This window comes from Homo sapiens, chromosome 10 (assembly GCF_000001405.40).
Source record: "Homo sapiens chromosome 10, GRCh38.p14 Primary Assembly".
NCBI classification, from domain to species: Eukaryota; Metazoa; Chordata; class Mammalia; order Primates; family Hominidae; genus Homo; species Homo sapiens.
The window spans coordinates 97,540,581-97,562,075 of NC_000010.11; the positions used below are offsets into that span (position 1 = coordinate 97,540,581).

At 47.5% G+C, this 21,495-nt stretch overlaps 1 protein-coding gene and 1 long non-coding RNA gene across 2 annotated transcripts in view, besides 5 other annotated features; one reads left to right on the forward strand and one right to left on the reverse strand.

Annotated features, from left to right (window-relative positions):
- The window catches only part of UBTD1 (ubiquitin domain containing 1), a 72,283-nt gene that overhangs the window by 41,657 nt on the left and 9,131 nt on the right, over nt 1-21,495 (forward strand). The window lies entirely within an intron of this gene.
- Nucleotides 1,058-1,670: an enhancer, noted in NCBI's record as "H3K27ac-H3K4me1 hESC enhancer chr10:99301395-99302007 (GRCh37/hg19 assembly coordinates)". NCBI's record gives its function as "activates a minimal SCP1, AML or CMV promoter by ChIP-STARR-seq in primed H9 embryonic stem cells {active_cell/tissue: H9 hESC(primed)}" and the evidence as "EXISTENCE:reporter gene assay evidence [ECO:0000049][PMID:30033119]".
- On the reverse strand, nt 1,172-20,748 carry LOC124902488 (uncharacterized). The gene is made up of 3 exons (XR_007062259.1): nt 20,481-20,748; nt 13,240-13,328; nt 1,172-3,110 (listed from the first exon to the last, which is right to left on the reverse strand). It is a non-coding gene; the product is annotated as an uncharacterized LOC124902488 (long non-coding RNA).
- Nucleotides 1,671-2,282: an enhancer, noted in NCBI's record as "H3K27ac-H3K4me1 hESC enhancer chr10:99302008-99302619 (GRCh37/hg19 assembly coordinates)". NCBI's record gives its function as "activates a minimal SCP1, AML or CMV promoter by ChIP-STARR-seq in naive H9 embryonic stem cells {active_cell/tissue: H9 hESC(naive)}" and the evidence as "EXISTENCE:reporter gene assay evidence [ECO:0000049][PMID:30033119]".
- Nucleotides 10,802-11,302: an enhancer, noted in NCBI's record as "H3K27ac hESC enhancer chr10:99311139-99311639 (GRCh37/hg19 assembly coordinates)". NCBI's record gives its function as "activates a minimal SCP1, AML or CMV promoter by ChIP-STARR-seq in primed H9 embryonic stem cells {active_cell/tissue: H9 hESC(primed)}" and the evidence as "EXISTENCE:reporter gene assay evidence [ECO:0000049][PMID:30033119]".
- Nucleotides 13,094-13,595: an enhancer, noted in NCBI's record as "NANOG hESC enhancer chr10:99313431-99313932 (GRCh37/hg19 assembly coordinates)". NCBI's record gives its function as "activates a minimal SCP1, AML or CMV promoter by ChIP-STARR-seq in primed H9 embryonic stem cells {active_cell/tissue: H9 hESC(primed)}" and the evidence as "EXISTENCE:reporter gene assay evidence [ECO:0000049][PMID:30033119]".
- Nucleotides 13,145-13,224: a silencer, noted in NCBI's record as "silent region_2681". NCBI's record gives its function as "represses an Ori minimal core promoter by ATAC-STARR-seq in GM12878 lymphoblastoid cells {active_cell/tissue: GM12878}" and the evidence as "EXISTENCE:reporter gene assay evidence [ECO:0000049][PMID:35858748]".

A 21,495-nucleotide genomic window follows, 5' to 3' on the forward strand; every position in this document is an offset into this window, starting at 1 on the left:
TGTAAGGTATAGTTATTAGCCCCATTTTCTAGATACGGAAACTGAGGTTCTCAGAGGTTGAATAACATGCCTAAGTCATGCACATAAGTGCAGAGCCAGGGTTCTCTCTCAGGTTTGGAATCTGAGCCTTTTGGCAACCTACTGGTACTGCTTATCTGGGTCCAGGCTAGGAGCTGGGTATCTAGACGTCAGCATGAAGGAGACCACCTGCTGCCTTGATGAGCTCACAGCCTGGCATGGAGGCAGACGTGGGCATTGCCGAGTCAATTTCTGGAGACACCATGTGGGTTAGACCCCAGCCAGGCTGTGTGGGCGGCAGGGTAGGACTGGCCAATGGTGTCAGCTGGGCCTTGTGTCCTGGGCTGGAGGCAGCGCTGCTTCTCTGCTTGTCAGCTGCGTGTGTGTCCACTAGGGGTTGGTCTTGCTGCCCTGGGGAGTTGGTAGGCATGACGGGGTCTGGAACAGGCAGCAGGCTGGGAGTGAGAGGACCTGAAACCACTCACTGGATTCCTGTCATTGCCTCAGTGTCCTCATCCGTAAAAGAAGAGTAGTCATATTTGTCACACAGGGTCGTTACAAGGATTAAGTGAAATGAAGCATGTAAAAAAATATCTTACCAGGCACGGTGGCTCATGCCTGTAATCCTAGCAATTCGGGAGGCTGAGGCAGGAGGATTGCTTGAGCCCAAGAATTTGAGACCAGCTTGGGCAACACAGGCAGATCTCATCTCTACAAAAAATCTAAAAATTGTCCAGGCGTGGTGGTATGTGCCTGTAGTCCCAGCTACTTTGGGAGGTTGAGACGGGAGGATTGCTTGAGCGCAGGAGGTCAAGGCTGCAGTGGGCTATGATCACACCACTGCACTCCAGCCTGGATGACAGAGCAAGACCCTGTCTCAAAAAAAAGACAAAAAACTCCTTATAATCATAAAACTGGTATTTCTACAACTAGTAAGTAATTGCTACCATTTTCAAGCTCCTACTGTGTGCTCCACACAGCACTGCAGTCCTCACTGCAGTCCCTCTAGGTGGATATTAGGATATTATTGCTCCCATTTTATGGATGTGGAAACTGTTCCAGAGGTTCAGCTGTTCCAGGTCACACCTGTGAGGGGGTGGAGTTGGGAGTTAGACCTAGGTCCTCTCTGATTTTTTTTTTTTTTTTTTTTTTTGAGATGCAATTTCACTCTTGTCATCCAGGCTGGAGTGCAGTAGTGCGATCTCGGCTCACTGCAACCTCCGCCTCCCTAGTTTAAGAAATTCTCCTGCCTCAGCCTCCCGAGTAGCTGGCATTACAGGCGCCTGCCACCACACCCAGTTGATTTTTTGTATTTTTAGTAGAGATGGAGTTTCACCATGTTTACCAGGCTGGTCTCGAACTCCTGACCTCAGGTGATCCACCTGCCTCGGCCTCCCAAAATGCTGGGATTACAGGCATGATCCACCACGCCCGGCCTCCTCTCTGATTCTTAAAGCCACCTCTCTGTGTTCCAAAGCCTCTGAGTTGTCTTCCCTCCCAGCTCCGCCCCTCGCTAATAAGTTCCTGAAGCAGCTGTGGCTGTTCCAGGGCGGGGGTCAGGCTGAGAGTGGTGCCCCAGCCAGGCCCACCACCCAGGCCCTGCATCTGGCGGTGGGCAGGATGCGTCCTCTACAGCCAGAGGGATGGAGGGATGGGCTTTACCTGCCCACAGCCCCGAGTTATGGTGGCAGCAGCAGGTTCCCCTCCCAACCAGTCTGGCAAGCCAGTTTTGTTGGCCTGTGAGTCACACCAGCACTGATGAGTCAGGTTTTTCCCTTCTTTGTGCCCAGAGCAGCTGGGGAGGGAGTGGGGGGTTTCTTAGGAAACAGGACCTCCCTCCCTCTGCTCTCCCACTCATCCCCTTGTCTTGGAGCTGCTCATTTTCTATCTGGAGGGCCCTGGCTCAGCCCTGGAAAAAGAGGCCTTCATGTTCCCACTAAAGAGAGTGTCCCATGGGCCACACTGGGCAGGAAAGACTGGGCCCCAGGCTGAGTTTAGTCAGGAGGCGGAGGGTGAAGGGGCCTTCCCTGTTGGGAAGGAGAGCAGGGCTGCAGTCCCAGGCTGTCTGACTCCGAAGCCTGTGCTCTTGGCCGGTCGGCTTGCCCTCTCCTGTCTATAAAGTGGGATTATCCTCTGGGCAGGGCAGCTGGGTTTCCCTAAGCAGAGGGTCCCCTGAGCCACCTGCTTCTTGCCTTTTGACCACCCTGGCTATAAGGGCTGTCCATATGGTCAGCCTCATGCAGGCATAGCACAGGCATAGAACCCTCGCAGAGGCCTCATTAAACCCAGCCAAAGCAGCCAGCCAGCTGGGCAGCCTGGTTCTAGATCAGCACTTCTCGGCCTTGGCCATATGTTGGAATCACCTAGAGAGCTTTTAAACCTCTCTGCTGCTCCCAAACTCCAGAGCAAGTAAGTCAGAATCCCAGGGAGCAGGCTCCAGGAACCATGTTTTTGGTGGACCACACTGGATTGCCTCTCAAGAGCCTGCCCTCCCAGAGGTGACAGTGAAGTTGCAAGCACAGCACAACACCCAGGGAACAGTCATGCTAGAGTGCAATGCGGACCCCGAGGGTCAGAAGAGACACTTGGGGAGAGCGGGGAGCGCCTGGTGGGAAGAGGGCTTCAGTCCTGCATCCTGACCAGGCATGGCTTGGGAAGGAAACCAGGGAGGATGCTGGTCTGACAGCTCTGGTGAGTCATGGGCCGAGGAGGAGGAAGAGGAAGGGATGAGTCAGGCACAGCTGCCTGCATGGCCCGAGCCTGGCTTGGGAGGAGAATGAATGTGCTTCTCTGTTGTTCCACAAACCCAGTGTTGTGGTCCTGAGCCATGCCACATGAAGGAGCGGGTGAGCCTTGAAAAGATGGGGTTCCCAGGACTCGGCATGTTAGGCATTTGTGTGTGCGCTTCACACTTCGTACAGAAATTCCCTGGAGTATTTTGGCATTTCTGTAAGGCAGACTGATGAGTGGCATTTGCATTTGGCAGATGTGCTTGGACAGATGAAGCCCCGTGCCCTGGATCACACAGCAGGTCCTGATGGAAATGGACCCAGGTCTTCTGACCCCAAGTTCACCCCACTGAAGACACAGACCTGAAAGACAGAAAGACAGTAACCTAGAGCCTGTTGCTGGGGTGTGGACTAAATGAACTATAAGGCTTGCAAGAATTAGGAACCACAACCAGGGTGAAAATTATGTAATTATGAAAATTACGGGGTCTTTTCTACCTCCAGCCCGAACAGTTGTGGGCAGATTTGCTGTGGTGTTTGCTGTGGAGCAGGGGGCTGGTGCTCAGATGGAGTATGCAGGAGCCCGGTGGGGCCTGGTGCTGGATGGGCCACATCTGGACTGTTAAGTTAGTTGAAACAAGGATGGGTGAGACGGTAAAGAATCTGGAGAAAGGCCAGGCACAATGGCTCATGTCTGTAATCCGAGCACTTTGAGAAGCCGAGGCAGGCAGATCACCTGAGGTCAGGAGTTCAAGACCAGCCTGGCCAACATGGTGAAACCCCGTCTCTACTAAAAAAATTTAAAAAAATACAAAAATAGCTGGGTGTAGTGGCCAGCACCTGTAATCCCAGCTACTCAGGAGGCTGAGGCAGGAGAATCTCTTGAACCTGGGAGGCAGAGGTTGCAGTGAGCCAAGTTCACGCCATTGCACTTCAACCTGGGTGACGAGAGAAACTCTGTCTCAAAAAAAAAAAAAGGAATCTGGAGAAACTGCAGGAGGGAATGGAGATCTTCAGCCTGGAGAGCAGAAAAGTGTCAGATAACTCCACTGAAGAGGCTGTGACTTGTTCTGTGTTATTCCAGAGAGCAGAGCTGATGGATTTCAGATCAAAATAATAATGTTAATAATAATGACAAAAGCGACTGCAGTTGGCCCTTGAACAACGCAGGGTTAGGAATGCTGACCCCCATGCTGTTGAAAATCCATGTCAAACTTTCTACTCCTCAAAAACTTAGCTACTAATAGCCTAGTTTTGACCAGAAGCCTTACTAATAACATGAACAGTTGATTAACACATATTTTGTATATTATGTGTATTACATACTGTATTCTTACAATAAAGTAAGCTAGAGAAAAAAAAATGTTATTAAGCAAATCATGGCCGGGGGCAGTGGCTCATGCGTGTAATCCCAACACTTTGGGAGACTGAGGCGGGAGGATCACTTGCACCTAGGAGTTTGAAGCCAGCCTGGGCAACATAGTGAGACCCTGTCTCCAAATAATAAATAAATAAAATCATAAGGAAGAGAAAATATATTTACTATTCATTAAGTTGAAGTGGATCATCATAAAAATCTTTGTCCTTGTCTTCATGTTGAGTAGGCTGAGGAGGAGGAAAGGGAGGGGTTGGTCTTGCTGTCTCAGTGGCAGAGGTGGAAGAAAACTCGAACCCATGTTGTTCAAGGGTCAACCGTATGATGACAGTAATAAGTACCTACTCTCCGGCCAAGCATGGTGGCTCACACCTGTAATTCTAGCACTTTGGGAGGCTGAGGTGGGTGGATCACGAGGTCAGGAGATCAAGACCATCCTGGCTAACGTGGTGAAACCCCATCTCTACTAAAAATACAAAAAAAAAAAAATTACCTGGGCATGGTGGTAGGCGCCTGTAGTCCCAGCTACTCAGGAGGCTGAGGCAGGAGAATGGCATGAACCCAGGAGGCAGAGCTTGCAGTGAGTTGAGATCCGCCACTGCACTCCAGCCTGGGCAACGAGCGAGACTCCGTCTCAAAAAAAAAAAAAAGACCTACTTTCTATTCTCTGGTAAGTATGGGGCTCGTGTGTGTGTGTGTGTGTGTGTGGGTGTGGGTGTGTGTGTGTGGGTGTGTGTGTGTGTGTGTCTTAAGCAAGAGCCTTGTGGGGCTTGGTGCTAGGACATCGCCTGGGCTGTTAGGTGATTTGTTCTGTGTAATAATATATAACACGTATGTGTTAGGTGATTTATTAGGATAATCTTCTTGACTATATTTGTGTGTATCTTTAATCCCCCTAATCTCCCTTAGATGTGTGGCTGGGAACACTCCCTGCCTCCTAGAAGAGACTAGAATGCTTAAGGCATTTGCCCAAGGTCACTTAGCGCTTTAGTTAATGATGAAGCTGATGTTCAAGCCCAAGTCTGCCTGAGGACAGAACCTGTGCCTTCAGCACCTGCGTGTCTCTGTTCTAGGCCTGCCAGGTAGCTCAGTAAAGGGTAACTATAATTACTATTAACTTCCTTTTCTTTTTTTGAGACAGAGTCTCACTGTTACCCAGTCTGGAGTGCAGTGGCGCAATCTCAGCTCACTGCAACCTTAGCCCCAAAAGTAGCTGGGACTACAGGCATGTGCCACCATGCCTGGCTAATTTTTGTATTTTTAGTAGAGATGGGGTTTCACCATGTTTGCCAGGCTGGTCTCAAACTCCTGATCTCAAGAGATCCACCCACCTTAGCCTCCCAAAGTGTTGGGATTACAGGCGTGAGCCACCACACCCAGCCACCATTAACTTTCTAACCATTAGCTTCATCCAACAGTGGAATAGGCTTCTTTGTGGCATGGTGAACACCTCAGTTCAGGAGGTGCACAGAGGCTGAATTGCCCCCCAGCTGGGGTGACTGTGGGGTAGTTGGTGAGTCTCCATCACTGAGCTCCAAGCCAGCCATGCTGAATTAGAGTCTTGAGCTGGTGCCTAGGTGTGTGTTTCTGTCAGGCCACAGGAGGGCCAGGCATGGTGGCTCACACCTGTAGTCCCAGCACTTTGGGAGGCTGAAGTGGGCGGATCACTTGAGCTCAGGAGTTCGAGACCAGCCTGGCCAACATAGTGCAACCTCATCTCTACTGAAAATCAAAAAAATTAGCCGAATGTCGTGGTGCACACCTGTAGTCCCAGCTACTGGGGAAGCTGAGGTGGGAGGATTATTTGAGTCCAGGAGATGGAGGCTGCAGTGAGCCTGATCACCCACTGCGCTCCAGCCTGGGTGACCGAGTGTGACCCTGTCTCAGAAAAAAAAAAAAAAAAAGCTGACAGAAGACCAGGGCACGCAGTCAGGTGTGGATAGCACTGGCCCAGCTGTCCTGGGAGGGCTCAGCTCTTAGATTCTGTTCCTCTCTAGTGGGCAATGGGAGGTTGGTAGCTCCTCCCGCCTTGCTCCTGCCGCGTGTTTTCCTTGCTGCTTTTCCCATTGGCATATTCTTCAGAGCTGTGCATTCAGCTCCTGATATTTTCATATTCTAGTTATAATTCAGCTTCCACTGGTGGTGGAGTAGTTTGGCAGAAAGAATTTACTGTGCCCCACTGCCACCTCACACACACACTCTCTCTCTCTCTCTCTGTCTGTCTCTGTCTCCGTCTCTCTCTCGGGAAACAGCTGTCGGGTCTGGGACAAGTCACATCACCTTTCAGCCTTGGTTTCCTTGTCTGTAAAATAAAGTGGCTAGGGCAGAAGACTTTAAGGTCGCTCCCAGCTTCAGGACTCTGCCATACTCGGGGGACATGCCCCCTTGGAGTGGTGCATGTCTGAGCGCTCGTGGCAGTTGACACCCAGTGGGACAGAGTCCCAGTGTCAGAAGTCAGGCTGTGCCGTTCGCTTCTAGGCACCTGGCTGCCGTGCCGGTGCCCGTTGGGTCCTCATCTTTACCAGCAGTGAGGGAGGTTGGACTGCTATGTCCAGCAGTAAAAAGCACAGTGGCTGAGAAAACCTACCTCCCCTTCCTGGAGTCCTGAGGTAGCAAAGGGAGCCAGCCAGATACAGGAGACCTTTCTAGCAACCTCTGGGGAGTTCCTGTTTTATTTATTAGCCACCATCCTCCCTCTTCTGCCCCAGGAAAAGTGCTGACCCTACGCTGTGCAACCAGCACAAGGAGGCAGACATCCATCAAGCCCACTCTCTGTCCCTGTTGAGCTTGACCTCATTTAACCCCTGCGTTCTGCTGCACCGCGAAATAAAGACCAAGACATCCCTATGGCAGGAGTTTTCTTTTCTTTTCTTTTTTTTTGAAACAGAGTCTTGCTCTGTTGCCCAGGCTGGAGTGCAGTGGCGTGATCTTGGCTCACTGCAACCTCCACCTCCTGGGTTCAAGCGATTCTCTTGCCTCAGCCTCCTGAGTAACTGGGACTACAGGCATATGCCACCACGCCTGGCTAATTTTTGTGTTTTTAGTGGAGATGGGGTTTCACCATGTTGGCCAGGCTGGTTTTGAACTCCTGACCTCAGTTGATCCACCTGCCTTGGCCTCCCAAGTGCTGGGATCACAGGCATGAGCCATCACGCCCAGCCTCGCAGTTTTCATTTTTCAAAATCACAGCAACTTTATGAAAAAAAAAAAAAGTAACCTTTAATTGTGTAATGGTTAAAGCATTACTGACTCGGCTTGGTTACCAATGACAATAGCTACTGTCTTTTCAGCACTGGGCAGAGTGGTCTCACTTAATCCTTACAGCAGTCCCATGAGGTGGGAGTTACATGCTCTTTTTACAGATGGAAACACCAAAGCTTAGGTTGGTGAGGTCATCCACCCGTGGTCACAAAGGTGGTTAGCAGCCAAAGAAAACCCCCACTGTCCATCTCTGAAGCCCACATGTGAGTAGCCAGATTGCAGAGAGAGGCTACAGTGTCTTTTTACACATACATAATTATCCATGATCCAGGTTGCCAGAAAGCACATGTAATCAGGGTTCCCTCCAGAGCTGCTAACGCTGGAACTGCTCGTATTCAAGCCAGGACTCTGGCTGCACTTGAGAGCAAACACATCAGTACGTGGCAAAGATGAGAGTGTGTTGACTGCAGGAAAGGGACATAGGTGCTTAAAACAAGGGAAGTGCGGTAATTCCCACCTATGTCTTACTCTGCTTGTGAAGTATAGTATTCTCTCCAAAGCAGCCTCAGAAAACATGTTAGTTGCATGGCAGGATAGAACCCTAGAGTCAGGCTGGGCGCAGTGGCTCACGCCTATAATCCCAGCACTTTGAAAGGCCAAGGCAGGCGGATCACTTGAGGCCAGGAGTTCAAGACCAGCCTGGCCCATCTCTACTAAAAATACAAAAACTAGCCATGGTGGCACACGCCTGTAATCCCAGCTACTTGGGAGGCTGGGGCAGGAAAATCACTTGAACCCAGGAGGTGGAGGTTGCAGTGAGCTGAGATTGCGTCACTGTACTCTGGTCTGGGCAACAGAGCAAGACTCCGTCTCAAAAAAAGACTAAACGAAAACCCTAGAGTTAGATCCTGAAGATTTGGGGGCTCTGTTTGTAATTGATATCAGATAGGCCAGTTTTCCTCTGGAAATGGGTCGGGGGATGGCTGGTCAGTGCCCAGCTCTGGGAGACCACCCTTCCCCGAGCCCGGCCAGATGTGGCCAGGGCCCCCAGGCTGGACTCACGGACCAGAGAGCAGAAAAAGGCCTGCTCTCCCTGAGCCCAGCCAGGCAGCCGACCCCGTGAATGTGTACGTTGTATGCAGCACCATGAAAGCACACCCTGTCTCACGCATGTGTGCCCCCTTGTCCGTATCTGTGGCTGCCCGCACACTGAGGCCTTGGGTAGGTCTGTTTCTCTTGGCTGCAATTTTGTCTCTCTCATGGCCACAGAGGATCCGGGCCTGCCTCCTCCAGCAGGTTTCCTCACTGTACACCTACCTCAGTGACTGGTTTTGTCCCTCCTGGACTCCCACCTCCACCCACTCCCTTTCTTTCTGCCTCTTCCTATTCAGTGAGGCTTGTTCACAAAACATAGTCCTCTGTTCCCCCTTTGCAGGGGTTTCTTGCAGACAGCTCTGTCTACTCTCCCATCTGATCTGTGCCTCCCCTCTCCAGCTCCTCCTTCTTTTCCTAAACTGCCTGCCCATTTCACTCGCCCGTGCAGCATGCCAGGCATTAACTCTGTCTGTAGGATCAAAAAGATGAACTGGAGGATGTCCCAGCCTCAGGCAGACAAACAAGATCATTGCAGAGAATTTCTGTTGCCATGGGCTGGGCATCATCCTAGAGCCGAGAAGGGGGCTCTCAGGGGTGCCACCCTGCCTTGATCCTTCAGCTCTGCTCAGGACCACCTGGGACCCACTGTACCTCTAGAGATGCCCGGTAAGAAGCCTGGCCCATCACTTAGCAACTGGCTCCACCCCTTTCCCTCCCTGAGCTGGGGCCCGAGAGGAGGAAAGGCCCACAGGCCTGTAAAGAGGCCACCAAATCCCAGAGCATGGGAGGCCCCAGCTGACCAGAGCTGGGCCAGCACTTTCCCTTCAAAAGTTACCTAGGCTCTGAGGGTCATCTCTGCTAAGTCTAACTATAAATATCGCGCTTCCTGAAGGGATTACCTGGGCACCACACCCCCTGGCTCCCCCCTCCCCGCCTGGGCTGATCCTTCTTCTGGGCCCTGTGTTCTTCCTGACCCCTTGTTCCCGCTGCCAGGTGGGACACTTCAGACTACCTGTGTTTCAGCTGTGACTGCTGGGGTGGGAGGAGAGAAACAAGAGATTCGAGTCTGTATCCTGGCCAGAGGGCCCTTGCCGGCCAGCTGTTGGGACAAGGAGGCTCTTGTTCCTGCCTTCTCCCGTCTGGTGTGAGAGCCGTGTCTCTCACACCAGCCAGAGCAAGCCCAGACTTGTCACATAATCGGTGCATCTGGGAAGGACACTGTTGGCCCCATCCCTGGAGTAAGGGCCTGGGGACAGAACTTGGTAACCGAGTGTGGAACAGCTTGGGGATTGCCGCAGGTATAAATAGGGCTGTTTCCTGGCTTGGGTGGCCTGACTGGGGAAATCTCTGCTCCCTTTGGCTGGTCTCAGATTTGGTGTCACATCCCAGTGGCTCACTTATTCCAGTCCCTGAAGTCACAAGAACCATCTCCTGGGGTCTGAGATCAAGAATTGAAGGAGGGGCCAGCCCGCTGCAGACCTCTCCCCTGCCTCCGCCTGCCTCCCTGCTGCTGCAGGAGCTGTAACTCCTCCACCCCTCCCCACCTGCTCACGGCGCCTCGGTCAGTTCCTTTCTCAATTCAGCAGGTACTTGCTGAGAACCGCGCTGGGCCAGGCACTGTGTGAGGCAGTGGGATCTATTCAGCTAGGGTCTGCCATCCTTCCTTGTGTTTTTGGAATCTCCTCTTCTGTGTAGCCATCCTGAGTTCAGCAGTGTGAATTGAGTGGTGGGAGTAAACACACACACACGCATACACACTCACACTCATAGATGCACACCAGCTCTGGGCAACTTGGAGAGGACCTTAAATGCTCTGTCTCCCACTCTCCTTTCGGTGCCCTCCCTTGGGGTGATATCACCAGACACCATTCATTATTGAGGCCAAACCACAGCATCCACCATCATTATCCTCCTCCAGCCCAGACGTAGTGCCCTCTTGCTCTCTTCCCTCCCAAATCAGCTCTCAGCAGCACCTCTGGAGACCATGTGTTGAACTGTTTGTTAAGATGTGGCTGGGCATGCCATTTCCACTCCTGTTTTGCTGTGTTTACAAATAGGTTCTTAAGTCAGATCAAGTACATACCCCAGCCCAGCCCCTGTAACTGGTTCCATGGGTGTGAGGTAGGCCCTGAGAATCTGTCTTTTGAACCAGCACCCCAGGAGATCCTAATACGGGAGGTTTCGACAACTCTTTGGGACCCTAGCCTTTGCCTCTATACACAGACATATACATTCTCTGCTCAATCACAAATGTTGGCCAGGCATGGTGGCTCACACCTGTAATCCTAGCACTTCGGGAGGCCGAGACAGGAGGATCCCTTGAGCCCAGGAGTTCGAGACCAGCCTGGGCAACATAGGGAGACCTCTCTATTAAAAAAAAAAAAAAAGTTTAAACAAAAAATGTCTTTTGGTGTCCTCTGCCCAGCACAATTGCGGAAACGCATGCTTTTTGTGGGTGTGTTGCTCTGCTGCCTCCCCGTGCAGGTTGTATGCCTTTGTCAGCTTCATTAAGGACAGGAACCATTTCTGTTACTCTGTCTTTGACCTGAAGCTTATCTAGGACAGGAGATGTAAGTAGAAGCTACTAAATGCTCCTGCTGCTGAAACCAGCAGAGCCTGCCTGGCCCTGGACAAAGCCTCCAGGAGCTGTCAGTAACTGATATCCTACAGGGTATGGGCTTAGCAAGTCAGCACCACCGTCGGCTCCCCAAACTCTTCCCACTTTTCCATGGCTGCACCCCAGAACTCCAAGTATCCTCTTTCCTTATTAACAACTTTTATGGTATTATTCTTATTATTAAAGTAATACATTCTTATTGTAGAAAACTTGGAAAATATAAACCAAGAAGAAATCATCGGTAACTGCCAATGAAATATAACCACTGTTTACATTTTGATATAAATTCTTCCAGCCTTTTTTCTCTTTTAAAGACCAGGTCTTACTCTGTCGCCCAGTCTGGAGTATAGTGGCGTAATCATAGCTCATCACTGCAGCCTTGACCTTCTGGGCTCAAGTTATCCTCCCGCCTCAGTCTCCCAAAGTGCGGGGGTTATAGGTGCGAGCCACTGTGCTCAGCCCTCCTGTCTTTTTAATATATATAATTATACAGCTGAGCACTTTGGGAGGCAGAAGAAGGAGGATCACTTGAAGACAGGAGGAGTTTGAGACCAGCCTGGGCAACATGGCGAGACCCCATCTCTAAAAAAAAAAAAAATTTTTTTTAAATTATCCAGTCATGGTGGTACATGCCTATAATCACAGCTCCTCAGGAGGCGGAGGTGGGAGCATCGCTTGAGCCCAGGAGGTTGAGGCTGCAGTGAGCTATGATCACATGGCCTGAGTGATAGAGCCAGACCCCGTCTAAAAACAAACAAAAAATAATAATTATACACCCTTTTTTTTTTTTTTTTTTTTGAAACACAGTCTCGTTCTGTGACCCAGGCTGGAGTGCAGTGGTGCAATCTTGGCTCACTGCAACCTCCGCCTCCTCAGTTCAAGCAATTCTCCTGCCTCAAGCTCCCAAGTAGTTGGGACTGCAGGCGCGCACCACCAAGCCTGGCTAATTTTTGTATCTTTGTATTTTTGTAGAGATGGGTTTTTACCATGTTGTCCCAGCTGGTCTTGAACTCCTCACCTCAAGTGATCTGCCTGCCTCAGCCTCCCAAAGTTCTGGGATTACAGGGGTGAACCACCACACCTGGCCAATACATACTTTTTTTGAATCAAAAGCTGGAGCACTGTGCGCTTGCTGTTTGAGACCTTTTTTCACTGTATGGTGGACGTTTTCCCGTGTTAGCATCCTACCTCACCATCACAGAGTGGCTGCCGCTGATGCCTCGAGTGGATGCCCATATTTTATGTAGCCTTTCTCCTGGCCATGTGCATTAGGTTGTTCCTAGCTTTAACCTGTTAAAAAGGTGCTGAGTTAAACAGCTTTGTAGATAAGTCTTCACCACACACTTGTGATTATTTTCTTCGAATAAATTATTAGAACCAAATAGGTGAGCCAAAGAGATGGACATTTTTAAGTTTCTCAGTACCTCGCAGAGGCGTGCACCAATTTGTGCAGCATATGAATGTTCACACTTTCCACTGCCCAACTTTTTTGACTCCATACAGTATCTTTTTGTTTTTGTTTTCCATTTTTCTGAGATGGAGTTTCACTCTTGTTGCCCAGGCTGGAGTGCAATGGCATGATCTCAGCTCACTGCAACCTCCATCTCCCGGGTTCAGGCAGTTCTCCTGCCTCAGCCTCCTGAGTAGCTGGGATTACAGGCATGTGCCACCATGCCCGGCTAATTTTTGTATTTTTAGTAGAGATGAGGTTTCACCATGTTGGTCAGGCTTTCTCGAACTCCTGACCTCAGGTGATCCACCTGCCTCAGCCTCCAAAAGTGCTGGGATTACAGGCGTGAGCCACCGCGGCCAGCCAATATCTTTTTAAGTAAATGAAATTAATATGTTCATCATCGACTTGTCTATATGCTTAGATGAAAAACTTCCTTTTCTGTGTTTGTCTGTATCAGTGGCTAAGATTGTAAGCACCCGTGTATAGGGCTGCAAATGTTTGGGCATGTCTCCTATACACACTTACCTCTGGGCCTGGAGAACTTGGTGAGTTGTTTTTGTACAGCGTTTGACCCACTGATGAAGAGAGCCAACACCAGCCCAGAGGTGCTGCGGCTGCCCTCTGCTGGCTCTGAGGTGCAGTGATGACTGAGAAGGCAACGGTTGGACTCCTGGGCTCAGCTTACATTAACCCTGCCTGCCCCCTCCCCCTCACCAGCCCATTGTAAGATTTTCAGCCACAGAGGCCCTACCTGGAGGGTGAGGAGTTTGTCACCGCTGTATCCTGGGTCACTGCATTAATTAGGCGCTGTTAATACTTGCAGAGGCTCACTCACAGTAACTGTCAGTGGGAGAGAAGCATAGAAGTGACTGCTAGCAAAGCTGGCTGCTGTTGTGTAGCGGGGAGGGGACCCTGAAGGCTACTCTGGGGGAGCTTGAGAGGTTTGCAAGCCAAGGCAGCATCCTTCAGGCACGTGTGTGGCCTCCTGAGGTGATGACTTTGAAAGGGGCCACCATGGAGCTGTGTTTATTTTAAAGGTCAGTTCTTTAGTCTTCTCAAGAGAAAATGAGATGCATGGACACAGTTACAGCTCAGGTGTCCTTGTAGTCACAGTCCAGCAACCTCACTTGTTGGGCATAGAGCCCAAAAGTGAACATTTTATTTTTTTGTTTGTTTTCGTTTTTTTTTTTTTTTCTGAGATGGAGTCTCACTCTTGTCACCCAGGCTGGAGTACAGTGACATGATCTCAGCTCACTGCTACCTCCGTCTCTGGGGTTCAAGTGATTCTCCTGCCTCACCTCCATAATAGCTGGGATTACAGGTGCCCACCACCACTCCCAGATAATTTTTGTATTTTTAGTAGATATGGTGTTTTTCCATGTTGACCAGGCTGGTCTCGAACTCCTGGACTCAAGCGATCCACCTGCCTCGGCCTCCCAAAGTTCTGGGATTACCTGCGTGAGCCACTGTGCCTGACCATTTATTTATTTATTTATTTATGAGACAGGGTCTCACTGTGTCACCCAGGCTGGGGTGCAGTGGTGCAGTCATAGTTCACTGCAGCCTTGACCTCCTGGGCTCAAGTGACCCTCCCATCTCAGCCTCCCGAGTAGCTGGGACTACAGGTGCATGCCACCACACCTGGCTAATTTTTTTTATTTTTTGTAGAGACGAGTGGTCTTGCTTTGTTGCCCAGGCTGATCGTGACCTCCTGGCCTTAAGTGATCCTTCCACCTCAGCTTCCCAAAGTGCTGGGATTATAGGTGTCAGCCACCATGCTGGCCAAACAGTGAACATTTTTAAATGTCACAAAGCCTGGTCTCTTTCTTCTGTGGGAAGCCTCTTTTGTAGACAGTGCTGACAGCTTGGTCGTGCCCTTTCTCAACCCTTGGTAGATTAGGAGTGGTCCATGAGCTGGGCCTGCCCTCTCCCCATGTTAGGAGCAGCAGACAGACGAGACCAGTAAGAAGTGCAATCTGGCAAAGAGGAAGGAGGCAGGGAAACTGTAGAATCAGCTCAAGAATTTAAAATGCCATTGAAGCTAAACAGCTGTTTAGGGAAGAGGCAGAAGTCCCATACCCAAGGATCCCTGAGGGAGTCACTGTATAATGATTGTGACTCCTGGTGGATCAAAGCTCTCATTAGGGGGTCATCCCTGCTAAATAATGAAAGAGAAAAGGAGTCCAGAAATCATGAAATGGAGCAACTTCCTTGGTCAAGGCATAAACACCTCCAGGCTAAACTTCATAAAAAATATCTAGATGAAATTGTAACCTTCAGTTTCTTCAGTGTCTCCTTTCTGTCCCTCATATTTAAGCCTTTGATTAACCTGGTTTTGATTTTTGTGGCTCACGTGAGGTGGGGATTGGAGTTCATGTTTCCATCATAGTCCCAGTGTAGCAGGACGAGCCACAGACAAAACCTCTCAGACACCGAGTTGTAGAAGGAAGGGCTTTATTCAGCTGGGAGCATCGGCAAGCTACTGCCTTAAAATCCGAGCTCCCCAAATGCACAATTTCTATCCCTTTTAAGGGCTCACAACACTAAAGATTTCACATGAAAGGGTTGTGATTGATTTGAGCAAGCAGGTGGTACGTGACGGGCTGCATGCACCGGTGGTCAGAGAGAAACAGAACAGGGCAGGGAGTTTCGCAGTGTTCTTCTATACAATGTCTGGAATCTATGAATGACATCGGTTTCTAAGTTATGAGTTGAGTTTTAACTGCTGGGTTTAGGCCAGGCAGGCCAGGCGTGGTTTCGGGCCTGGCGCTGGGCTGCCTGTCTTTGGTTTTACTTCCTTGTTGTTTTTTCTTAAAATGGGTACTGAGTATAAAACCATATAAAACAATATGAGAGGGTCTCTCTCTTCCCTCATTTCCCCCCTTTGAGACTCTCACTTTTTATTAGTGGGAGTTCTCACTCTTATTTTTGCTACTTATGTCTTTTTGTGCAATAGATTGATAGTGATTTATATAGTATGCTTGTGCTGAAGCATTTTGGTGAACTAAGGTAGTGACGAAGTTTTTTATCATTTGGAGAAATACAGGTATCAGACAAGGGAGCAGTAAGCAGGTTCCTATTACTATTATTACTCTTATTATAAGAGTTTTAAATTCTTCTATTGCTGGGAACCAATTTCCAAACATGGCTCCCAGATTGAGTCCATGCCACACTTGCATGGGGGCATGTGCCAGTTTTGTTATATCTTTAACTATATCCTCAACTACTTGCCTGTGATCATCTATGTGTAGACAACAATTAGTAAGGTTAAATTTTTCACAAACACCTTCTTCAGCTGCTAGCAAGTACTCAAGAGCTAGTCTATTTTGATAGATAGCATTTCTCATCAGAGTCTCTTGCCAGGCAAGAACAGTCAAGTCTTGACCGGTTTTATTAGTAATAATTTCTAAAACAGCTTGTAACTGTGTGATTCGGTTGAGCATGTAGATGGGGGTTCAATATCCCCATGAGCCATCTTGTGCCAAAGTGGCTGGTCCATAGTATTATATGATTTTTTCAGGGGGCCATTTATCATCTTTCCAATCACCTATGGCTATGCTTCGTTTTTCGCGGGAAGCATAGACTGGGAAGCCCAGAAGTTTACCTGTTTTTATGGGCAGTAAGAAGAAAGATGACTTAATGGTGCCAATTACACAGCTACCTGTCCACTGATCAGGCAGCTTAGCATAAGCTCTGTGTCCACATATCCAGTATAACCTGGCGGGGGCCGTCCAGTCCCAGTGGAATTCTGGGTGGGCCCAAACAGTCTGCAACTTTGGAAATTTACTGAATGGATTTCTTTCTGTGTAATTGGAACTCCACCATGTAACTGTTTTTGTGGTACCATTTTACAGCTTTTGCCCAAGACAACTAAGCCGCCCTACAGGATGAGTGAATCCTTTTCCTTCTCTAGCTATGCAATACTGTCCAATAATTGAGACTTTTAGAACCCAAAAATTGTCAGGGTGGTTCTTTGGGGCTAAGAATTCATCAGGAACTGGGTCTGTAGGAACTAAGTGTCGGACTTCCCATGGCCATTGATCTCCTGTTACGGTTCCAACACAAATATAACATGAGGTGACTTGTAGAGACTGGGCTACATGTTTGGCTAATTGCAAAAATAAATTTTTAGTTTTTCCTGGAATCTCAAGTACTGGCACATTTAGTTCATCATAGAAAGTCTGAAATACTGTTTCTGGAGAGCGTTTTTGAACCTCTCTTTTTATTAGGATGCTTACACTAGGATCTAGTCCTTTTCCATCAATGCCTAATGTTGCATGTTTTTTTTTTAATTCCACTTTGGGTCTGAGGGGTTTGTGATTATCAATTCTAAAAGGTTGCAGCTCCCACTCGTGCAGGAGGGGCTGACTTTTCCTTTTTGGAGCTAAACAGGATCTTTTTTATCTTCTTTTCAAGTAGCCCAAATGACACAAGACCAGTACTGACACATCTCACATAAATATGATTCTTGACAGATATACTTATTTTTTTTTACTGTGTAACTTTTTTTTCCAATTTAGAGAACCGCATCCTATTCTATGCTGCTTACTATCAATAGTGGCACAAGCATCAAATTTTAAGGTTACATTTTTGGGACCCCTCTTTCTTCTGTTCTAGCTGTTACCTTACTTGTGTCACCTAGAAAAGGACCAGTCCTTAATTTTATTTTAAAAACTGTGATCATGGGAGGCTTAAAATGGGTCATAACACACATCAGGTTGGTTATTTCCTGGGCTACATACCTTGGATAGAATAGCATTATACAAACAAGTTTCTTTTAGAGTCCTGGTACACTTATAATAATCATAAAATAATAGGACTGTGGCAATCTTTTGTCTTACCTCAGTGACTTGATATATATACTGGAAACAGTTCTCAGTCTGAGAAAGGTCAGTTGAAGTCCTTACTGTACAAGTCTAAATTTTAAGGAAAATGAGTCCTGTGATGAGTTTCCTCATGCTTCGGCCGTGCGTGGACCAGTCAGCTTCTGGGTGTGACTGGAGCAGGGCTTGTCGTCTTCTTCAGAGTCACTTTGCAGGGGTTGGCGAAGCTGCTCCCATCCACGTACAGCTCCCAGTCTACTGATGTTTAAGGGTGGTCTTGGTGGTTGGGCCTACTAGAATAAACTGAATCCAATACTTCTACACAGTTATGTTTAACTGGGCTCTCTGATACCAGGAGTAAGGTGGCGGGGTTAGGGTGTTGCAAACTTCAATGGTTATGCGGGGATCTTCACAGAGCAAGCTTTGGTATCTAGTTAGTCTAGCATTCGTTAGCTAATGATGTCCTTTGGTATTTATTAAAGTCACCACAGCCTGGGCATACTTTAGGTTTTGCTTAAGAGTTAGCTTATCTGCTTCTTGTGCTAACAGGGCCGTTGCTACCAGGGCCTTTGGACGTGGGGGCAGCCTTTGGAAACCCCATCTAGTTGTTTTGAGAGATAGACCACTGCCCTTGGCCAGGACCCTACAGTCTGGGTTAAAACTCCAACTGCCATTTTTTCTCTTTCTGACACATAGAGTGTAAAGAGTTTTGTCAAGTCAGGTAGCCTCAGGGCTGGGGCCGACATGAATTTTTTTTTTTTTTTAACTCATGAAAAGCTCTTGCTGTTGGGTGTAATAGATGTAGTTTATCTAATTTACATTTTTATTGACTGTCATTTACCAAAATACTGACTTAAATCTTTTAACTATTTGATTTTAAGCTTTAAATTGATCTGGTATTCCTTGCGGGGCTTCGATTGCATCTAAATAGATGTGAGAGTTGAAAGACCTATAAGGGGCTTCTCTCGTTTTACGATGTCTTATTATTTTTTTTCTTCCTCTGGTTGATGAAATGCCAGGGTGAAAGGGATAGCCAAATGGACTAAAGCACAAGTGCCACTCTAGTTATTCAGCAGAGTGCCCAGTAAAGGTCCACCACAATACCACCACGCATCCGCTCGGGGATGAACAAGGGCTGACTGATTGATAAGCTCTTGAAAATTCTTAAGCTTGCTGCATCCCTTCAGGTCTCCACGGAATGCTAAGTCTCCTCCCTGCCATGAGAGACACGAAGTGAACTTAGTGTTGGGAGACGGAAGCTGGATGGCCCTCGGGGGCTGACCCACAGGGACTTCGGGATATAGCAGAGAGAGCTTGGCATGACTTATTACTCCAGGCTGTAGAATTCTGGAAAAGAGCTACCATGCAGCCCACGCCTGGTCGACTGGAGGACCACCTTAGTGGAAGGGGGACAATCAGGGCCTCTGGCCTGCCATGTGCACAAGCATAACAATTGCATTTGTTTAAAGTGCAGATGGAATATTTGATCCATTTCAACCAGGCATTTGCATCTTGGTGTGCTGTCTTAATTGCCAAAGTTTGTTTTAAGTCTAACTTTTATGATCCTCTAGTAAAATGAATGTTTCCTTTAGCACCAATTTTTACTAGTTTTTAGACCAAAGAAAACTCAACACCATTTTATATTTAATAATATTTCTTGTATGATTTTTATACCAGAGAAGCTAAATTTTACCTTTATATTAGTGTGTTATTAATATTAAACTTAATTTTAATAAAACCTTGTAGACATATTTATCCAATTTTTCATGTTTGACCATAAGGTAAGATTTTATAGACTCTTTTTAACCTTTTATAATTTTTGTAAAAGAGCAGGTTGATGCTTAAAGAAAAACCTGTTGCATTTTTACTTTAATGTCCAGTTCACCGAAAAACTGGATGATACCTTTTTAACTTTAGCTAATATGTTTACACACAGAATTTTCTTTATAATTAACGTTTTAAAACTTGCTTAAACTTTTAAAACATTAATTTTTTTAATCTTTTAATGTAGATAAAAATCCACATTTTTATGCCCCTTTATAATCTTTTTACCAAAAGTATATTTTACTTTTCTCATACACCTTGCACATAAACTGTTTTTTTTAATAGTCTTCAGGAGGCCTTATTACTTTTAAATTATACAACATTTTTTGCATAAATTTTTTATAACATTTTTTCTTTCATGACTTTCACCAGCAATTCTTTAACATGTTTCAACTTTTTGACTTGTTACAAACATTTTTTTTTTCTTTAAACAACCACTTAATTTATTTCAGGACAAGAATTTACCATATAACACTCTTTACATAAATTCTGCCTCACCCTTTTTTTGAAGATAACCATTCCTTTTTTTAAAGCAAACTTTCTTTATGTCTTTGGACTAGACTGTCTAAGGCCACAAGATTAGAAGTTACCATAATACATGTTACACTGTTAACTTTTAGCAAACTTCAGTTTTGTTGAAAACCTTGTAAGTTTGGGATTTCAATCATCCTTTGCTATTAATAAGACCTTGTTTAGTCTAAATTAACTTAGAATTGGTATAGATGGCCTTTTTTTCTCTCTGCTGGTCTTTACTTGCCTCTGCCAGCTGCTTATGCTGCTGTTATTTTAACTACTGTGGAGGGGAAGGGGGTCTAAAACCAGCTGTAACTATGTATGGAAACTGGTCTGGGTGCCTTGGCTTACAGGTTACCTTGTGTCATACCTTTGAAACAAGGGACCTGTCCAGGCTTCCTTCTGATCGCCAACCCACCTCTAATGCTGGCCAGTCTATTTCACACAAAGTTCTAAGTTTTCCTGGTGTCACAGTAGCACTGTAATCTCCCTTAAATTCTTCCTTGAAATTTTTTTTTTAACATAGTTCCTAGTAGGGTGGGCTTATTTGTGCCTGGCCCATGCTTCTTTGAGACAAAACACCACGCTTACACCACACACACCCCACAAAACAAAAAACAGGTAAAAAGGGCACACACACACTTTTGCAGTTTACACCAAACCAAAATCAGAGTATCCAGAAATCCAAGCCAGGTCAAAACCAAAACCAAAGTATCACACAATCTAAGTCAAGTCAAAACCAGAACAAAAGTACCAATGCAGGCACGTCGTGGGTGATCAGGCCACACTTCCACTCAGATGGAGTGGGGCAAGTTCCAAAGACTAGTCTTACCAAGTTTCAGATGTCCGGACTCCAAGTACCGGTTCCTTCCTGGTGTTCAGCCACTGTGTTAATCCTCCGTGGGGGCCTGCTACGTGCTGCTCTGGTGAGGCGTTCCACCGGGTCAATTTCCTACCCGGGAGCGCTCTTTGGATTGCATCACTCAGGCTGGCCGGAGTTCCCCACAGGGATGCTCCACAGGGCAGGTCTAAGCCGTCTGAGGGGCTGCCTCAGCCGTCCGTGAGTTACCTCGTTTCCTGGTCAGGGAACCAAGAAATGTAGCAGGATGAGCCACAGACAAAACCTCTCAGACACCGAGTTGTAGAAGGAAGGGCTTTATTCAGCTGGGAGCATCTGCAAGCTACTGCCTTAAAATCCGAGCTCCCTGAATGCACAATTTCTGTCCCTTTTAAGGGCTCACAACACTAAAGATTTCACATGAAAGGGTCGTGATTGATTTGAGCAAGCAGGCGGTATGTGACAGGGGATGCATGCACCGGTGGTCAGAGAGAAAGAGAACAGGGCAGAGAGTTTCACGATGTTCTTCTATACAATGTCTGGAATCTATGAATAACATCAGTTTCTAAGTTATGAGTTGATTTTTAACTACTGGTTTTAGGCCAGGCAGGCCCAGGTCTGGTTTTGGGCCTGGCGCCGGGCTGCCTGTCTTTGGTTTTACTTCCTTGTTGTTTTTTCTTAAAATGGGTACTGAGTATAAAACCATATAAAACAATATGAGAGGGTCTCTCTCTTCCCTCACGAGCATCATTTGTCACACATAGTCATCTTCCCCTCCCACCTGCAAGAGGAATGTTCCTTCTCACCACGAGCAAGTTCCTGTACACACCTGGATCTCTTTCTGGACTCTCTGTTCTCATTTGTCTTGTATACCAAAAATAAAATTCTAAGTCCTCCAACCAGTTGAACGGACCCCTCTTCTCAGCCAAGGGGATTCCAAAGAAATCTGAAAAACGAGTTCAGGCCATGATGGGAGGGGGAGTCAGGCCTCATTATACTCTCCTCCCTT